This window comes from Homo sapiens, chromosome 3 (genome assembly GCF_000001405.40).
Source record: "Homo sapiens chromosome 3, GRCh38.p14 Primary Assembly".
NCBI lineage: Eukaryota > Metazoa > Chordata > Mammalia > Primates > Hominidae > Homo > Homo sapiens.
This window is the reverse complement of record NC_000003.12, coordinates 139342186-139360029: the sequence shown is the minus strand read 5'-3', so window position 1 is coordinate 139360029 and position 17844 is coordinate 139342186. Positions and strand designations below refer to the sequence as shown.

The window sequence follows — 17844 nt, the reverse complement described above, 5'->3', positions numbered from 1 at the left end:
CCTGAGCTGAACTGCTTTAGTATTTTTAGTTGCTTTTATACCAACTTGGTACATTTTTATTGCATTTAACATTCCTATGTAAGTTATTGCAGTATTAATGTTTGTGGCTTTTTCATGCTGAGGATGTAAGGTAATACATAGTATACATACTGTATCACCTTTCGAAAATCCAAAAAATCCTGAATTCTGAAACATATTGTCCACATCATAAAACTTGCACAGAAAAAAAATGAAATTAAAATAGAAGAAAAAATAAGACACCATGGTATTCTGCTGGGCACCACTGGCTTGTCTGGCCCTTCCCATGTTGGAGACACTGCCCTAGATATTTGTCTTGTGGAACTGAATTTCTGCTGGCATATATCCTTATGCCTTTAAAATTTGCTAATCTAACCTGCCTTAACTCCTCTTGAAAAGCCCCTTTAGGTTCTTAGGAATTATAATAATTAAGTTAAGTAGATTCAAAGTAGTCAGGAAAGCTGTCTTATCCCTCATACCCTTGCAGTGTGTTGATTAACAACCATTAAAAGACAAGTGACAGAAATGAGATATATGTGTGAAGATTGGGGAGATTTTTGGCTTTGTAACACTAAATTTACTTTGTGTTAAGTACCCATTATTATAGTGTTTATTCTTGGTAACAGTACCTCTCCTTTTTAATGTTTAGGGTTGATGCCTGCCTAGAGCTCTTAATTAGAACTGGACGGCTGCCAGAAGCTGCCTTCTTGGCCCGAACTTACTTACCCAGTCAGGTTTCAAGGTACAGACTTTTAATTTTAGGAAGAAATGTTTCCAATAAAAAGAGAGCACATTTACTTAGTCTCTCTTTGGTTCCATGATGTCTATAATAGGGTAGTGAAACTCTGGAGAGAGAATCTCTCAAAAGTCAATCAGAAAGCAGCAGAATCCCTTGCTGACCCAACAGAGTATGAAAACCTGTTCCCTGGATTAAAAGAAGCCTTTGTTGTTGAAGAATGGGTGAAGGAAACACATGCTGATCTGTGGCCAGCCAAACAATACCCACTTGTCACGGTGAGTGGCCAGGATGTCAAGCTTCATTTATTGTAACTACAGGGTGGAAGTACATTCAGGACTTCAGATTTTGAACTGCTGTCTTCTTTTAAAATTAAGAGCTGATATCTGGGATTTAGGCCAAGTTCATAGGTAAATTATGATTTCAGAATATCTCATTTCATCATTGCTTTATTCTCTGATAGCCAAATGAAGAGAGAAATGTCATGGAAGAGGGAAAAGACTTTCAGCCCTCAAGATCTACAGCTCAACAGGTCAGTAGAGCACTTCATGTGATAAATTTGGCTGAGATGGTTCACTTTTTTTTTTTTTCTTTTGAGACAGAGTTTCGCTCCATTGCCCTGGCTGGAGTGCAGTGGCGCGATCTAGGCTCACTGCAAGCTCTGTCTCCCGGGTTCACGCCATTCTCCTGCCTCAGCCTCCCGAGTAGCTGGGGTAATTACAGGCGCCCATCACCGGTCCGGCTAATTTTTTTGTATTTTTATTAGAGACAGGGTTTCACTGCATTAGCCAGGATGGTCTCGATCTCCTGACCTCATGATCCACCTGCTTCGGCCTCCCAAAGTGCTGGGATTACAGGCGTGAGCCACTGTGCCTGGCTGAGATGGTTCACTTTTAAACATCATCTCCCACTTCCTAATTCTGATCATCCTTTTCTTGGGGGAAAACTTTAAATTCCCGAGTAAATTCCCTTGTCTTCATATATATCTTCACTTGTGGTTTCAGGAACTTGATGGGAAACCTGCTTCTCCTACTCCGGTTATTGTGGCCTCCCACACAGCCAACAAAGAAGAAAAGGTAGGTCAGACATCATACTCAAACCTCCCTCTACCCCATCTTCCTCCCCATCAATATCTGGAGGATACGTAGGCCTCTGTGGTTTAAGTGACATCAGTTTCAGAGCAGGGGCTTTGAAATGGGAAGATGCTCTTTTTGACTATTAAGAAAATCTTAGTTCTCACTTTGAATCATGAACCCACGGATAACTTTCCTTTAACAGTACTGTAAAACTTAATTACCCTCTTCCTTTTGTCTGCAGAGTTTACTCGAACTAGAAGTAGATTTGGATAATTTGGAATTAGAAGATATTGACACAACAGATATCAATCTGGATGAAGATATTTTGGATGATTGACTGTAATGCTTTCCATTTACCTGACTAAACAGATCATTATTATATATAGGTATTGATTGCTACCCTGACCACAGTGCTTTGGACTATGAGAAACTTCTTAGATTTTTATATGTAAATGCTGTGGACCACTGGGAGCACAATGCCCACATCATCTTAAGAAGAGTTTATGTGCAGCATTTAAATCACTGTGTTTTCCTTGTTAACTAAAACAGACATGGGCTTTGATTTTTTTCATACTATTAGACCATATCTCATAAAACCTTTTGAATTAATGAAGGTACTTGTTTCCTTTCTCAATAATGAAAATAGGCTTCTAGTTTTAGAAGGCTGAGCCGAAACTACACCTTGCCTAGGGATCAGCCCCACTGTCTTTTCTTTGTATAACTAAATCTGCATTTTCAAATGTTGTCAATCACATTTTTCTTAGAGCTGAATATCCAGGCTGTAATTCTCTAAACCCTTTTTCTTGACCTCATTGCATCATTCCACAGGTCTTGCCCCGATTTTGTCTAGCAGCTACCCATTTCTGGAGTCAGGATGTGAAACCTCTGTTCCTCTGACCTCATTAAGCTGGGGGTCTGTCTAAGTTAACGTTTGCCCTATTTGGTAACACAAAAACACACCAGACTTTTTAACCGTACGCTCATCTAACATGATTTGAGAAATTCATAACCAGGCACTCAAATATCCTTGTAGCCTACGAAAAGTGAGTAGGGTAATAATTTTTGCTTTGTAGGGAGAACTACAAATTGATATCTTTTAATCTGGCCATTTTTTAACATTTAGCTCAATATTAACAGAGAAATGTAGTCAGTATTTAGTAAAATAAATGTATTTTTAAAATATTTTTAGGAAGCTGCAGAATGGCGACTGAGTGCTTCTTGATAAGTCTGCAGTGTTAGTTCTATATAGGCTCCCTTCTGTGCTTCTGTTTTTGCAAAGACCTGTTTAAATTAAAAAGAAAATTTTAAAACAATAGGACATATGCTATTTATAAAGTTTTTCAGTTTTAAGACATCATTAGCATTTCTGTAGTAGCAAAGAGTCCTACTTAAAAAGGGCTTTCAGATTTCACAATTTTTCCCCCGATTATACAATAATTAATAAACACACATGGACAGAAAAACAATACCCAACACATTTCAAGCAATACTAATTCTAAACACCAGAAGTATCCAATTAAGACCCTGACATTGTATTAATATTAATACTTCCTTCGAGATCAAAACAAAAACCATTAGGTTAGAGAGAAATCTGGAGGCTAAGAGTTACCAAACTAACTTTTGACTTTAAAGAATATTTTCTCCAAAAACATTGCGCTTTATCAGGTTCATAAAGAAAATCAGTACTGTAGTTTCTCTCTACTCTTCCTAGGATGTCATCACAGGTCATTGTTTCCTTAGCTTTGCAGCATGCAAACAGTATTACTAGGATAGAAGCCAGTTCCACAAAACCATGTATATTCTGAGCATTAGAAGAGATGAAATTAATTATACAATCTCCTCCCCTTCCCTTCCTGAAAATATCATCTCAACTCTCAGCACTTACAGATAAATGTACATAAGCCCATGGTTTTGAGAGGTATGCAGCTCCAAAATGACAATACAGCTAAGGCTTGATGATATACAAGCATCACACTCTCCACTTCTTGACACATGCCCATTTCCCCCGATGTGATGTGACCACACAAAGACAGGAAGCTGCTCTGGGGGACATGTGCTACTTAGTCCTCTACCCTGTCCTGTTGGTGGCTTGAACACCTCAGATGCAGCTCAGCCCTTCCAGTGCTCCAAAGAACAAAGGGGCTGCTCCCTGCACTGTCAGAACTTCTCTGGACTCCAGCTGCTAGCACCACATCACTCAACCTACTTTACTGCACTTTACCCCCCTCCCCTGTCTGTTTCTATTGTCCAGGCTGAAGAAATATGGGGACAAATCATACTGATGTTTTCAAGACCACAGATGTCCCATATTCACAAATCTGTTTAGTTACCATTAATTATGACCCAATTCTGAATTTTTCCCAGCTCAATTACCACCACAAAACAACCAATATGAAAAAAAAACTTTACCTTGATTAAATTTATTCCCTCAGCAGCCTGATCCTTGGCCCCTTGAGCCGACTGGCCATCTGGATGGAGCACGTGATACAGCTGGACCAAGTTGGTTGCATCATCGATTCTGAGAATGAAAGGGTTTAATGTTATCTAGGGGTTTTCTTCATTTGATTCACAGTCCTATAAAAGTGTGTGCCAACTTCAAACTAAATTACATTTCAGACTTTCCTCAGGCTGGAGGGATTGGGGAAGGACCTTCAGTTTTACAGTTTCAAAAGCATTTTCAGGAAAATTGACTAATTTAGGCCTCACACCAACTCCGTGAGGCAGCTAGGGCAGGAGTCACTGCAGGAAGTGTCCAATTTATGAAAGTGAATATATTCCAAATGTGGCTATATTCTTTTTGGAAAAAGAGCACCATTTCTCACAGAAACAGCATTCCTAATGGTAGACAATTTCCAGGCCAGCTTACTTCACCAGCATGTAATAGTCTAATCCAACTCAGAGGACAGAAACACAGCTTCATCCCACATAAGCAGGAGGGTGGTGGTCACAGGGATCTCAAAGTCACTTGCCTCTAAGTGACATTTGCTAACAGACAAATGCCTCTACAAGAGGCCCCCTAAGATTCCAAGGAAAGGATTCACAGGAACGCATTAGTAAAATAGCATCCTAGTGAAGCAAATTTGAAATTATACACACACATCAGACAAAAAGGAAAATCGGGTTCTACATCAGCAATCTGTCTTAACTTCAGCATCACACAACTACCTATGAAGAAGACAGAACAAGAATTCAGTTCTTCTGGTCTGTACTTCTCAGAAATGTATAAACAATTTTTATCAACATTAAAACTGTCCTAGCAAAACCAAACAATCACTATCTTTTCACACAGCTGACACTTTCCCACCATTTGCCATCTCATCGCTGGAGGGCACAGAAAAACGACACTCAAAATGCTTGTGCTTTTGAGGCTCTGCTATATACACTAAGTGAACTACTGGCTTCCAGTTGGGAATGGAGGGCTGAGGACACCCTAATTCAGTGCTTCCGCAGCTAGCACTCTTCAGCCTTCCCTGCGTTCCCCTTACCTGAGCTGGGGGATGAAGAGCAGGGTGACAGTGGGAGTAAGTACAGAATTCCTCAAGCCTTGGTAGCCTTAGAGAAATGCTCTGGGCTTATACTGAGGCTCATCTACCCTAAAGGCCATCTCTCAGGAAAACAGAGCTGTTGTATCATAAAGCTTTTCAGGGGGAAAAAAATAAAAAATGTTCATCACAAATCTATTGTGCTTGTTATAATCTAACAAAGTCCACTAAATGTAGTAACGAAATGTCTCCCCAATAAAAAATTAAGATTCCCTTTGGAGCTTAGGCATGTGGCCTTATAAAGAGCTTAACTGGACTGCTACCTGTTGGTATGTTCAGGGCTTCATTAGGTTCATGCTTAAGTATAATGCCTGTGCCTCACAGAACAATTTAAATTTAGCTTAACACCCCACCCATACTTAAAGAGCAAATAAATTATATTTCGAAAAGATTTTAAAATAATCTCAATATAAAAACCAACAGTGGGAACTGAGTCTGGAATAAATGTGTGCAGAATCCTAATTCTTTTCTGAGCTCCACTCAGTGAGGATATGCACCCTCTACTGTCCAGCCTGTGGTTTGCAGTAAGCTCACTCTTCTGTTCAGAATGACCACAGGAGGGCCTTTACCTAGGAATAGCAGGAAAAGCTAAGTAAGTACTCAAACTTCCCTCCCAGTAAGCATGAATTGCTTCAGATGTAAAGCTTACATGTGATGAGTAATACTATAATATCATACATTAATATATCCTAATAAACTTTAATTTTCAAACATTTCTGCGTTGCTCTAATTTTTTGTAAGAACATACTGTTTTAATAATAAAGCAATTTCAGAATGATTAAACTCAAGAAACTTTATAAGTGGAAAATTCATTCACAGGAGATAACGTACATAAAGACAAGTCACTTGAGCATCCCCATCAACACCAGCCCCCAATTATGGGGTATGAAGGTATATTTCTGCCCTCTGATTTTTATTACACTACATATGCTGGTGAAATGGGCTAGCCTGGAAATCATCATCATTAGGAATATTGTTTCTATGAGAAATGATGCCCTTTTTCCAAGTATGGGCTGATTTTATTCTGAAAATAAGTTCTGTGGAACTTTCAGTTCCACATGCCTTACCTTTGTGTATATGGTTTGTATTACATGTTAGGATACTCTGCGAGTCAAAAACTAACAGTCTGAAGGTGGCAATAATCTCAAAACTGTCTTGTAGTTCAGACTTGAGTCCAGCAAGGGCTTTTTGTGGAAAGTTGACTTTCTTACTACAGCCATGCTGCTTCCTTGTCATTTTGGCCTTCCTAAATCAACTGATAGAAAGATGCTCAAAAACTATTTTCTCTTCAGTTTTACCACAAGTTGTATTATTATTTCCAGCTAGAAGCCTGGGAGCACACCAGCTTGATGCTAAAATACAACAGGTATTTTTTGTTTCATGCTACTCTGAAAAGAAGCTAACTTTTTCATGCCTTAAAAATCTTGCAAAAGCAAGGGATATCAAAAGTATTTTCATAAGTTAAAGGATGGTGTTTACTGAAAAGCCCTAGAAATAGTTCTACCAGAAAACAACCACAGAGCTTATTTCTACTTCTTTACATTTCCTATTTAATCCCCCTTTCGGTATCTGGAAAGTTCAGCAACCCAGGAGCATTGGTGAGCTCAGGATAAGTTAATATTGAGGGTTTACAGTACAGATCCAAAGCCACTTACTCTTTCAAGAGAAAGTAAGTGGCTTACTTACACTTTATATAAAAGCAAAAACTAGGAGAGCTAGGTTATACTAAAAGAACAAATCCATAAACTGAGGTAAGCAAGCACTAGACAGTACACTGTTATCACTGGAAAAATACCATAGCCTAAATACAGATGAACTGTTAGAGCAATAAGAATGATTCTTTCACTTACTAAGATCATACTTACAAATCTCTCTGAATCTGGTCAATCAGCAAACCATCAATCTTTTTATTATTTACAAAATACCACACCATTCCACCAAAGTATCTTGTTGAACGTAAAAGGTCATATTTTCCACGTTTATCTATATCTTCATAGGTCTTGTGATGAACCTATCCACATAAAATGCAACTCTTCAGAAACATGAAAATAAGAAGTATGCAGCATTATTCAACGTACACTGATTAGCATGAGTGCTGCCCAAGCAAGTAAAACCAGGTCTACTTACAGTTGCCTCCATATCATTAACCAATTGGTATGATTTAAACCATTCCTAGTACAACCCACCTTAGGTGGGAAGGAGGATTCTATTAAGAAAGAATTTTGGCCAGGCACAGTGGCTCATGCCTATAATCCCAACACTTTGGGAAGCTGAGGTGGGAGGACTGCTTGAGCAGTCCTCATCTCTAGGAAAATTTTTTAAAAAATTAGCTGGGCATGGCAGGCCACAGAATAAGACCCTGTCTTTAAAAAAATTAAAAGAGAAGAATTTGTCTAAATGACAGCAAGTCTGTGCCTTCTCCACTGTAGAAGTATGTGGCAGCCTGAAGCAAAATACCAAACATTTATAGCCATATTAAGTACTTTTTGGCAGGCCAACTACAATTTATTAAGCACCGATTATGCATATAGAGACCACTGGAAATAATGTAGCACCCACTTCTTGGTCACTATGGCAGAAAAGAAATCAAGTATTTTTTCACTACTCTCCCTTTCCCCTATCCCTCCCCCCATCAACTACCCTATTCTACCAGCTAGCCCATTCCATCTTATTAACTAAAGGTCCTTCAGTCCTCCTTCCAGATTGATCTTCCTAAATGAAGGTTCTGATGGGGGCATTCCTCTGTTCAAAAGGCTTTCAAAGGTCTGCTGACTGAATTCCAGATTCCTCAGCCTAGCATCTGAGGTCACCTATGATGTGGCTACATCCACCTTCCTAACTTAATCTTTAATCACTCCCCTACATATACATGGCATATATAAGCAAACCAGATCACTGGCCGTTTCTCAAGCCTCCTTTTTTCCTGCCTGTTGCTTATACTGTTCTCTCTACCTGAAACACCTCACCCAGCTCCACCTGCCACAACATTTCCTGCACTTCTAGAACCCTCCTTTACACCCCTATGAAGGCTTTCTTCAAAGAATTTGTAATCTTCTCTTAGTGTCTAGCATTTTAGGCCTGAGGAGATAATTATTTGTATACTTACTAGCACCTTTCCCCACAGCCATATCCGGACTGCTGGCTTTGGCACAGCATACTCTATCCTAGTTCGTGGCATCACCTATACTACCCAAGATAATACCTTACACATAGAAGGTACTAATGAATACTTACTGAGCTGTAAGACAAACACACTGTACTTCAGCAAAATTTTAGTAAATAATTTGATTCCTATACGGTAAACTGAAAAGAGAATAGGCTTTGTCATCAAACTTGGGTCCTAACCCTACCACTTAGTAGCTATGCAACTTTCAGCAAGCTACTTAATTCTACAAGCTTAAATTCCCTCATCTTTAATCAAGGGTTGTTGTGATTATAAAATATATATCTGGCACACAACTGTACTCAATAGATTTTCAGGTATTTCTCTTCCCTTTCCCCTGTATCAAAACTTACAACGAAATTCATTGAGCTAGATTAAAAATCTTACTCATAACCATACTTAAGCCTATATTTTAGAAACTAAAATCTACTCACCTTGATATACTCTGTGGAATCTGGCTCAAACTGGGCAAAGCAGAGATTGAGGACATCAACATGCCTGTCCTGGCTATACATAGTCTAAAACCACACAGCAGAGTTAGCATCACATGAGAACACTGAAGTTCAGCACCTGTCCTGATGTCATGACAGGCCTGCCCACCCACATACTGGCCACTCTGTGCTCCTCAAGAAGCATAAAGAAAGAACACAGGCTTTGTAATTGTCACACCTAGATTCAAATTCCAGCTAAGCCAATTATGAGAGAACCCTAGTACAACCCATCTTGGGTGGTAAGGAGGATTCTATTAAGAAAGAAGTCGGCCAGGCATGGTGGCTCACGCCTGTAATCCCAGCACTTTGGGAGTCGGATTGCGGGGGGGGGGTGCGAATCCCGAGGTCAGGAGTTCAAGACCAGCCTGGCCAACATGGTGAAACCCCATCTCTACTAAAAATACAAAAATTAGCCAAGCGTGGTGGCGGGCGCCTGTAATCCCAGCTACTCATGAGGCTGAGGCAGAAGAATCACTTGAAACCAGAAGGTGGAGGTTGCAGTGAGCTGAGATCCCGCCACTGCACTTCAGCCTGGGCAAAAGGAGCGAAACTCCATTTCAAAAAAAAAAAAAAGTCAAGTTATCATTAGAAATGTTTATCTGGATCAAGGCACAAAGCCAACTGGTTCTACAAATAAATCATCACCACTGGCTCTAAAACATAAAACCTAAGTCACCTTACCCTAAGATTTTCTTCCTTGAAAATTATTGGTGTCAAAATTTTACGACCTTCTTTTGGGAAATAAACTTGTATCATTCGGTCCCGTTCTTCCCAAGAGGCTTTGCGTAGTGTGCCACTTGGTTCTCTGACGACAATAAAACGCTCCTAAAATAGAAAAACATAATCAAGGATGCGTTTGTGAGGACGTATTTTTAGTTCCTGTGTCCCACTAAGGCCATTATAAGAATAATTTGCAATCAACAATATAAAATGCAATCATGCATATGAGATCAATGATAATTTTAAACCTCAAAGACTTGGCAAGGTTTGATATTTCCTTCACTAATCACTGCTGTGCATCTGACAATCAGAAATCTAAAATGAAAGTATTCAGTAAGTACCAACTATGGTGCTAACGTGAGTTCGATACGAAAAAAGCTGAGATTCATCTATATCCATTTTAGAGGAAAGAAGTGCTATGACCTTTCCAAACTTTCATTTCTCTATCCCAAAGTCTCATCTAAACAGATTTTACTACTTTATGATCTATGTTTAAAGTCCTTGGGATAAAAAGAACAAACCCAAGAATGAGGAGTCTTACTTCTACACTTTTATGATTTCTTATATTGGCATTAGACATAAACATGTCTGAGAGGCTGTCTGGTCCAACTGTCTCTGGTCACTTCGATCTTCCAACTGCCAACTCCCAGGCCATGGGATCACTTCCTCCTCTAAATTCTACCTACTTTTTATACCATTCAACTGGAAATTTACCCCACACAAGATTTTTGGCATCCCTCAGATATTGTTATATAACTGGAAAAGGGCAGGAAATGTGGATTATAATTTTTTGCAATACCGGGAGTGGCATACATGGAGCTTTGCACATTGCTGATAATTGATACACACCTGATTAATGTATAAATTAACCAAACAGTACTGACTCTCAAGTTTTCAGAGGTGTAGGAGTCTCTAAATGTGTTCTGAAGATAACATAGATGAAACTTCCATCAACACTGCCAATCGAAAAAAAAAAAGCACATGCCAACATAATACAATTTTTCCTCAGAAGGATTTTGGTAATTTGAGAAACCTGAATTCCAAGTTCCTTTCTCCTTTTCAAGTTACAAAATGCTTCCCAACCAACATGCACAGCACTGCAAACATATATTAAAGCATCACAAAACAAAAACTGTAATTAAAATTGAAACTCTGTGACTCATGTTCATTATGTCAAATATACAGATGGCTGGTGTTGAACATAGCTCAAATCGTTTTCTAACCATAATCATGTATAATAAAAGATTAATATGGAGTGAACCTTCTCCTAAACTCAGCATTCTATAGTGTTCTAACGTATTCTGTGGGCTGAATTGTAAACTATTCTCTTTTTATTCTTTACTTGCAAAGGCTCAAATACAAAGCTTACATATTTCTAAAATGCCAGAGTGTTCTTTTAAATTTGCAATCAAGTAAAGAGGAGCCAGAGAATAACAATCACAACAGAAGAAGTGGTGATGCCTGAAAATTATCTGAGAAACATCTGTCATTCTTACTGAAAATTCTGGAAAGCGAAAATCCTTTATGATGCCTGAGTTTCTTGGCATCATCAAGGAATTTATAAGACAGAAACATTCTATCTTCTCAAAAAGCTTCAGCTAAAGAAATCCATCTAACTTAGGCGAAAAGAGTCTCCTGCTTCCATTGCCTTGTAGATTTTTGTCCATTTGTGGTTTGGGATGGGTTTCTGTCTGTATCTGTGTACTCCTTGTTCTGCCTCAGCACATCTGGAATCTGGAAAATACTGTGCCTATTATCTGCTGAGAAATGGTAACACCATGATGTGGGGCTGGTCTGCATTTCTCATCCCTCATATAGTATATCTTCCAGAAGGGTCTCACCCAGTCAGAGGAAATCTGGTTTGGACGCATCAGAGACAGCCAGGTCACATCATCTCTCAAGCCCTTCTCCACATAGTATTTCAAAGAAAGATCATTTTGCGATTAGACATATACTCACCCGGTGTGGTATGCTATATGATATATCAGTAAACACATATTTGGTTGTTTCTGTTCCTTCCAAAATCTTATCTTCAGCTAACACATCATTTATTGGTACTCGCTCTTCCAGAACTGGTGGCATTTTTAATCGTACTTTAGCTGCCTCAACTGCCTGTCTTGTAGCCTAATGAAAGAAAATATTTATTAAGGAAAGCCACAAGGTTACATAATATAAGGATCATCTGACAAAAGCACATACTAATAAAAAATGCAAAAACCTGCATAGAAAAGAAGGTGTAGCCACAAATCAGTGAGTAAAAAGCCAAACCTGGACTTGTGAGCCCTGGCCTTTGCCTCTGCGATGTGGCTGAGACCACCAGCTATAGACTCAACCGTTATCAAAACCACAAAGGCATGCTCTGAGACAAAGCCAGGCTACAAAAGCTGCTTGAAACAGAATAAAAGAATGCAGTTTTGGGGTGCTTACTATGTGCCAGATAGTGTTCAAACAGTCTAAATGTATTTGGCTGATTTAATGGCCTCAATTACCTTATGAGTTAGGTGCAATTGTTATCATCTCCATTTTACAGAAGAAAAAACAGAGGCATACAGATGTTAAGTAAATTGCTAGAAAATTGCAACACTGGTATTTGAACCTAGACAACCCAACTTCAAAGCCCATTCTCTTAACCATTGACTACATTGCTTCATGCCATACTGTTAAAAGCAGTTACCTCTAGGAGGTGAAAAGATGGACTTTTACTCTTCATGTAATCTACTACTGGAGAGAGATATATATATTTTGCTGACTATAAATTACTTTTGAATCAGAAAGACGAGTATTAATGCTTTACGTATTCATACATCAAAGTGTTTTCCACGCAGCACTCAGTACCCATGGTACTGAGGACACTGGTGCCTGGAAAACATGCTGTTTCCATGCAGGATCTCACAATCTCCCCAAAGCTTCAGCCCCAAGGCAGATCACAGTAGATGTTTCTCCAGGAAGGAAGCTGGAGCAGGCAGAAAAAAGGAGGGGTGCTCAGGCTGCCTTGAGAGGAGAGAGGATACTCTCTGAACACCCAGACCTGATCCATATGCCCTAGTCTGCTCAATTCCAGCCATGCTCCCTGCCCCTCTCTGGCAGCCTACTCACATTTCTTTTCTCAGTTCTATGCCTGGTATTACCTTTCACTAGTGCCTATGGAAGAATAGCTATAAGCATCTGGAGGGGCCTCTAGAAATGTTGTTTAAACCCTTAAAGAAAGGTATTCTAACAATATTCCTGCATTCACGTACCTCTTCCAACTGTGCCTGAGTCATTAGCTTATAGGTTGGTGGCTTCAGTTCTTGTATAGCTGGCTTAAAAGTCTTCTGCAAGTTCAAGCCTGTCATTTTCGTGAGTATGCTTTGAACTTCCTCATCCATAAATGTAGGTTTCTTGGTCTCTGGGCTACCAGATTCTGCTAAAATGGACTTTAGTAAATAAGAAGCTGACAAAAATGACAAGCTAACAAGACCTCTAAATAGAAAAGTCAGTTAACAATAAAAAGCATTAGCACAATGTCTACCTTGGCACTGCAAAATGCTAATACCTATGAGATGCATTCATTTATTTCTTCATTTAAGATTTACTGAGCACTCATTATGATGAGGAGATAGACTCGGTCTCTGCCAAAAGGACAGACTACTAGAGGAAGTAACAGTAATAAAGTAATTAATGTAATAACTGTAATGGTTGCTGCCACTTACAGAGCTGTCTCCTATATGGCAGGTATAACACACATTTTCAGGAATGCTTATAACCACTCACAAAATAGGTACTGATAAACCCAATTTTATAAATGAGGATGCTGAAGCCTATCCAAAGACAACTAGCTATTAAGTGATAGAGTCAAAATTTAAACCAAGGTTTGTCTGGTTCTGGATCCTAGATGGTTTCCAATTTATCATAGCGCTCCTCGGTATAAGTGGGAGGTGTGGGGAGACATAATGTGAGAGGTATGGTATACAGGAGAGGTACGGGGCTTGGGTGATTGCAGAGGAAGAAACTAAGCATAGCCTGGACTAGGGATGGGCATGACAGGGTCAAAGAAAGCGTCCCAAGAGCCTCATCACGGCAGAGAAAAAAGGGAGGGAAAGTCTAGGCTAAGAGATTGCAGCTAGGAAAGAGGCTTGGTTCACTGGACATGATACTGAAGAGGCCGTGTGTTATCATGGAAGAGCCTTTGACATAAGCAGAGAATCAAATCTTAGCTCAGCCTCATGCAGTTTGCTTATTGCTTTGCCTAACTTCTACTTCCATTTCCATTAGCAAAAAAGAAAGAAAAAGCCATTTGTTCCTAGTCACCTCTTCTTCTCCTATAAATGTTGGTATCCCTACAGATTCTGAACGATGTCCTTTTCTCCCTTCTCAGATTCTTACTCGATGATTTCTCCTATCCTGCCACGACTTCAATTACCTTTATATGCCAGAAACTCTAAAATCTGAATCTCCTGCCAAGATCACCTTCCATCCAATTACTCAACCTCTCTCATGTACTTGAATACTGCCAAGTCAGAACCCATCAACTTTCCCTTGTCTCAAACCTGCATTTTCTGTTCCCTATCTCAGCATCATCCAGTAGGCCATACAGGCCAGAAATCTTACAGCCATTCCTAAATTCTCCCTGATCCTCCAGATCTAGCCAATAGCAGTAGTAATAACAACAACAGTAATCAAATAGCTGTAGTAATAATAACAGTAATTATAAGAGCTACCATTTATTAGCTATTTACTACATGCCAATACTGACTGAGCTAAGTACTTTACACATTCAGCCCATTTAATACTCACAACAACCCATGAGGTAAACACGAAGATTATCCCAATTTTACAAAAAAAAAAAAAAAACAAAAAAAAAAACACCACTGGCAGAGAACATACTGATTGTTTGCCTTCATAAATCTCATTTTAATCCTCCATTTCCCACTGCCACTACTCTAGTCAAGGCTATCCTCATCTCTTGCATCAGCCTCCCTTTCTCCATTCTGGCCCCACTACAGATCATTCTCCACAGAGCAACCAGAGTAATCTCTTTAAAATGTAATCAAGATTACTCCCAAGCTTAAAATTCACGAATGGCTTCCAACCTCATTTAGAAAAAAAGTTAAGGTGGTCTGCTTACCTACACTATGTCTCTCACTAAGTGATGTGCTCTATGAAGACCAGACCTTGTCTTATACTCATCTCTGGCACCCAGGGTTCCTCAGGGTATCCAGCACACAGCAAGTGCTCAGCACTACTCTCTCCTCAGTCTCACCCATTCACTCACCTTTAGTTACCATTTTTACTCCGATGTTCCTCACTTTATATTTAACTCCATACTAAACAGTTGACTCTTAAAGTCACCTCAAATTTAATGTGTCCCAAATAGGTTTAATTCCGCCTCCTTTCCCATCTCCTGATCTCATCTACTCCTGCACTACCCCCGCCCCCAAAATAACGGTTCCAACAATTAATTAATCTTCTTCATCTTGGTGTAAATGGGACAACCCTCTATTCCAATCAAAAACTTAAGAAACAATCTTAATTTGTCCCTTTAAACTCATATCCAAAGCCTTAATCAAGCCTTATCAATCCTACCTCCAAAATGGGTTCCCAAATATCTGTGCTCAGTCTCATTTCTGGACATCTGCTACTGTCCCCTATGCTTGAGAAGCTTCTTGCTTTCTCCTTAGCATGGCTAACCAGATCTCAGCTTTGGTCATATTTGCCAGGAACCCTTCCCTGACCTTCCAACCTAGTTTGAGTGCCTCTCCTGTGTGCGTCCCCTATAACAACCCGGGTCACACTGCACTGCCAATTCCCCATGGACATGAGTTCCCACAGGGAAATGTCTGTGTCAGTCTTAGTTTGCCATATCCCACAGAGCTTAGCACAGTGCTCTGCACGGAGCGGAACTCAGGCACTGTAGTTGAGTGAGTGAACGAATGAACAGATATGCAGGTGATGACAAACTCTACAGGTACAGAAGGAAGACAGCTGAATCTGAGGAAGCGCTAGGATACGTGTCGCGGGGGCTATCGCGTGGTTTTCGCCTGCCAGAAACAGGATCTACGTCTCCCAGAAGAACGCCCCAGCGAAAGTCCGGAAGGTCACTTACCGGCCTCGGAGCTGAACCGGCGGCGTGGCAGCCCCATCTCGAAAGAGCAAGGTAGCGGTTGGAGCAGGCCACCGTGCCAGGGCTGGATTCGAGCCCGGAAACAGACCCGTTCCACGCCCGGAGAACTCCTCAAGAGGCTCCACAGCAATACAGTTGTTCCGAGGGGCGCCATGATTATCAGAAGCCACTTGCGCCGGAAGTGGTTGGGAGGGATTCCGAGTCACACCCAGTTCTTGCAGCACTCTGGGAAATGTAGTCTAGTTAAAGGCGGAAAGGGCCGGAAGTCTTCCGGGCCCTTATAGATTGTTTCTTCTAAACTACTTATTCACAAGTAGACGGTGTTTATGTCCTTCCCTATGCATAAAGTTAAAACTTACACCTTTTTCCCTATATGCTCTTTTTCCTACCCGTTTCCATCGTTCTAAATAACAAATTTCCGGCCAGGCGCCGTGGCTCACGCCTGTAATCCCAGCAGTCTGGGAGGCCAAGGCGGGCGGATCACCTGAGGTCAGGAGTTCGAGATTAGCCTGGCCAACATGGTGAAACCCCCGTCTCTACTAAAAATATAAAAATTAGCCAAGCATGGTGGCGGGCGCCTGTACCAGGAGAATCGCTTGAACCGAGGAGGCAAAGGTTGCATTGAGCCAAGATCGTGCCATTGCACTCCAGCCTGAGCAACAAAGCAAGACTCCATCTCAAATAAACAAACAAACAAACACTCTAGCCTGGGTGACAGAGTGAGACTCTTGTCTCAAATAAATACATAATTTATGTATTCCACTTCCTGCCCAAACCTTCTCCCCCATCCTCAGGTTTAAATCCAACTACTTCTTAAATTTCTCCATCCACACTGCTCACATGCACCCTAAATCTAACTCCTGACTCCAAGCCCTGATTACCACCACCACCACTGCCACTGCCAATTCATACACCTGATTCTCTGTCTCAACACTTATTCCTTTCCTTTATAGCCCATTTTATAATCTGTTATTTTGCTCTTTATCTGCTTATTTCTTTTTCTCACCCCATGAACACAGTGACTCTACATATTTTATTGCAATATCACCTAGCCTAGTACATCTACGTGCACAGCAAACTTTTGTTGAATAAATGAATGAATGATTAAATGATTCTTTACATTTTTTCCAGCTATCCAGGATGTGCAGGTCTTATCCTTCTCTAGACTATAGATTGGTGCCTGTGCTAAGCACTTATCCCAAGGCCTGGGAAAACAGGGTGTTAGTAAACTCTTGTTTGACTTAGCTGGATGAATAGACTCACCTTCCAGCCTCAGCTATTTTCCCCCAACTTAGCATTAATATTAACAGTGCTGTTTATGAACTCATTCCCTATTTGGGAGGGGAAGGGAGAGCACTAGGCTTGGTGCCTATTTAGGCAAGTCTGCTGCCCTGCACTTCCCAATGCTTACACCTACATGATAGCAGGTGTCAGAGACTAGTGGCAGGATGAATGCAGGTGTCTCCCAGCCCATGCCTTTTCTCTGAAAATGAACCCTCTACTTTCTTCCCATAGCTGAGGGAGCAGGCCTCAGTGGCTATGTTTTTCCTGTAAACATCCTCCTGGACACAGCTGATTGGACACTTAGTGCAGGATGAATGAATCCATTGGCTGCTGTATTAGCATTAGTTTCCTGTGGCTGCTATAACAAACTACCACAAATATTATGGTTTAAAATAACAAAAATGTATTCTTTCACAATTCCGCATGAGAAATCTGAAATCAGTATTACTGAGCTGAAATCAAGGGAGCTCTGCTCCCCTTAGAGTCTATCTCTGGAGAAGAATCTGCCCCTTGTCTCTTCCAGTTTCTGATGACTGTAAACATTCCTTTGCCTGTGGCTGCATCATTTCAATCTCTGCCTCCATCTTCACATCAGCTTCTCTTCTTCTATTTGTGCCAAATCTTCCTCTGTTTTCTTCTTATAAGGATGTATGTGATTGCATAATCACTGACCCACCCTGATAATCCAAGATAATCCCCATTTTAAAATCT

General features: G+C 40.4%; 2 protein-coding genes across 7 annotated transcripts in view, besides 5 other annotated features; one reads left to right on the top strand and one right to left on the bottom strand.

Moving 5' to 3' along the window:
- COPB2 (coat protein complex I subunit beta 2) overlaps positions 1 to 2624 on the top strand; it is a 32275-nt gene extending 29651 nt beyond the window's left edge. For 3 of the 4 annotated variants that reach the window (NM_004766.3, NM_001410834.1, XM_047449233.1), the window contains 5 exons: positions 668 to 760; positions 852 to 1032; positions 1218 to 1286; positions 1759 to 1830; positions 2072 to 2624. In NM_004766.3, coding sequence (NP_004757.1) covers positions 668 to 760; positions 852 to 1032; positions 1218 to 1286; positions 1759 to 1830; positions 2072 to 2167 — 511 coding nt within the window. In that variant the 3' untranslated portion in view covers positions 2168 to 2624. The remainder of the gene's footprint in view (positions 1 to 667; positions 761 to 851; positions 1033 to 1217; positions 1287 to 1758; positions 1831 to 2071) is intronic. The other variant, NR_023350.1, reaches the window with a different exon arrangement.
- Positions 2890 to 16036, bottom strand: MRPS22 (mitochondrial ribosomal protein S22). 3 transcript variants are annotated; one of them, NM_001363893.1, is made up of 8 exons: positions 15832 to 16036; positions 12986 to 13149; positions 11706 to 11870; positions 9708 to 9851; positions 8970 to 9053; positions 7238 to 7383; positions 4240 to 4348; positions 2890 to 3111 (listed from the first exon to the last, which is right to left on the bottom strand). In NM_001363893.1, exons 1-8 carry the CDS (start codon positions 16001 to 16003, stop codon positions 3016 to 3018), a joined length of 1080 nt encoding a protein of 359 aa, NP_001350822.1. In that variant the 5' UTR covers positions 16004 to 16036; the 3' UTR covers positions 2890 to 3015. The 3 variants fall into 3 exon arrangements, with proteins under 3 accessions (NP_001350822.1, NP_001350786.1, NP_064576.1); NM_001363857.1 differs by lacking the exon at positions 15832 to 16036 and adding an exon at positions 15312 to 15479 and having other exon boundaries at positions 12986 to 13152; NM_020191.4 differs by having other exon boundaries at positions 2901 to 3111; positions 12986 to 13152; positions 15832 to 16010.
- Positions 15403 to 15522: an enhancer, noted in NCBI's record as "active region_20611". NCBI's record gives its function as "activates an Ori minimal core promoter by ATAC-STARR-seq in GM12878 lymphoblastoid cells {active_cell/tissue: GM12878}" and the evidence as "EXISTENCE:reporter gene assay evidence [ECO:0000049][PMID:35858748]".
- Positions 15533 to 15632: an enhancer, noted in NCBI's record as "active region_20610". NCBI's record gives its function as "activates an Ori minimal core promoter by ATAC-STARR-seq in GM12878 lymphoblastoid cells {active_cell/tissue: GM12878}" and the evidence as "EXISTENCE:reporter gene assay evidence [ECO:0000049][PMID:35858748]".
- Positions 15533 to 15952: a biological region, named in NCBI's record as "Sharpr-MPRA regulatory region 3993".
- Positions 15609 to 15903: an enhancer, noted in NCBI's record as "tiled region #3993; HepG2 Activating non-DNase unmatched - State 1:Tss, and K562 Activating DNase matched - State 1:Tss". NCBI's record gives its function as "activates a minimal TATA promoter and a strong SV40 promoter by Sharpr-MPRA in HepG2 and K562 cells {active_cell/tissue: HepG2 | K562}" and the evidence as "EXISTENCE:reporter gene assay evidence [ECO:0000049][PMID:27701403]".
- Positions 15863 to 15952: an enhancer, noted in NCBI's record as "active region_20609". NCBI's record gives its function as "activates an Ori minimal core promoter by ATAC-STARR-seq in GM12878 lymphoblastoid cells {active_cell/tissue: GM12878}" and the evidence as "EXISTENCE:reporter gene assay evidence [ECO:0000049][PMID:35858748]".

What these genes read in the sequence shown, in the direction of transcription:
- MRPS22 (NM_020191.4), bottom strand. Translation starts at nt 16,003, where the DNA reads ATGGCGCCCCTCGGAACAACTGTATTGCTGTGGAGCCTCTTGAGGAGT. An exon ending in ATTCCACAGAGTATATCAAG is followed by an intron (nt 7,384 to 8,969) that starts GTGAGTAGATTT and finishes TTATGTGGATAG; the next exon opens with GTTCATCACAAGACCTATGA. An exon ending in GACCAGATTCAGAGAGATTT is followed by an intron (nt 4,349 to 7,237) that starts GTAAGTATGATC and finishes TTTCATTCTCAG; the next exon opens with AATCGATGATGCAACCAACT.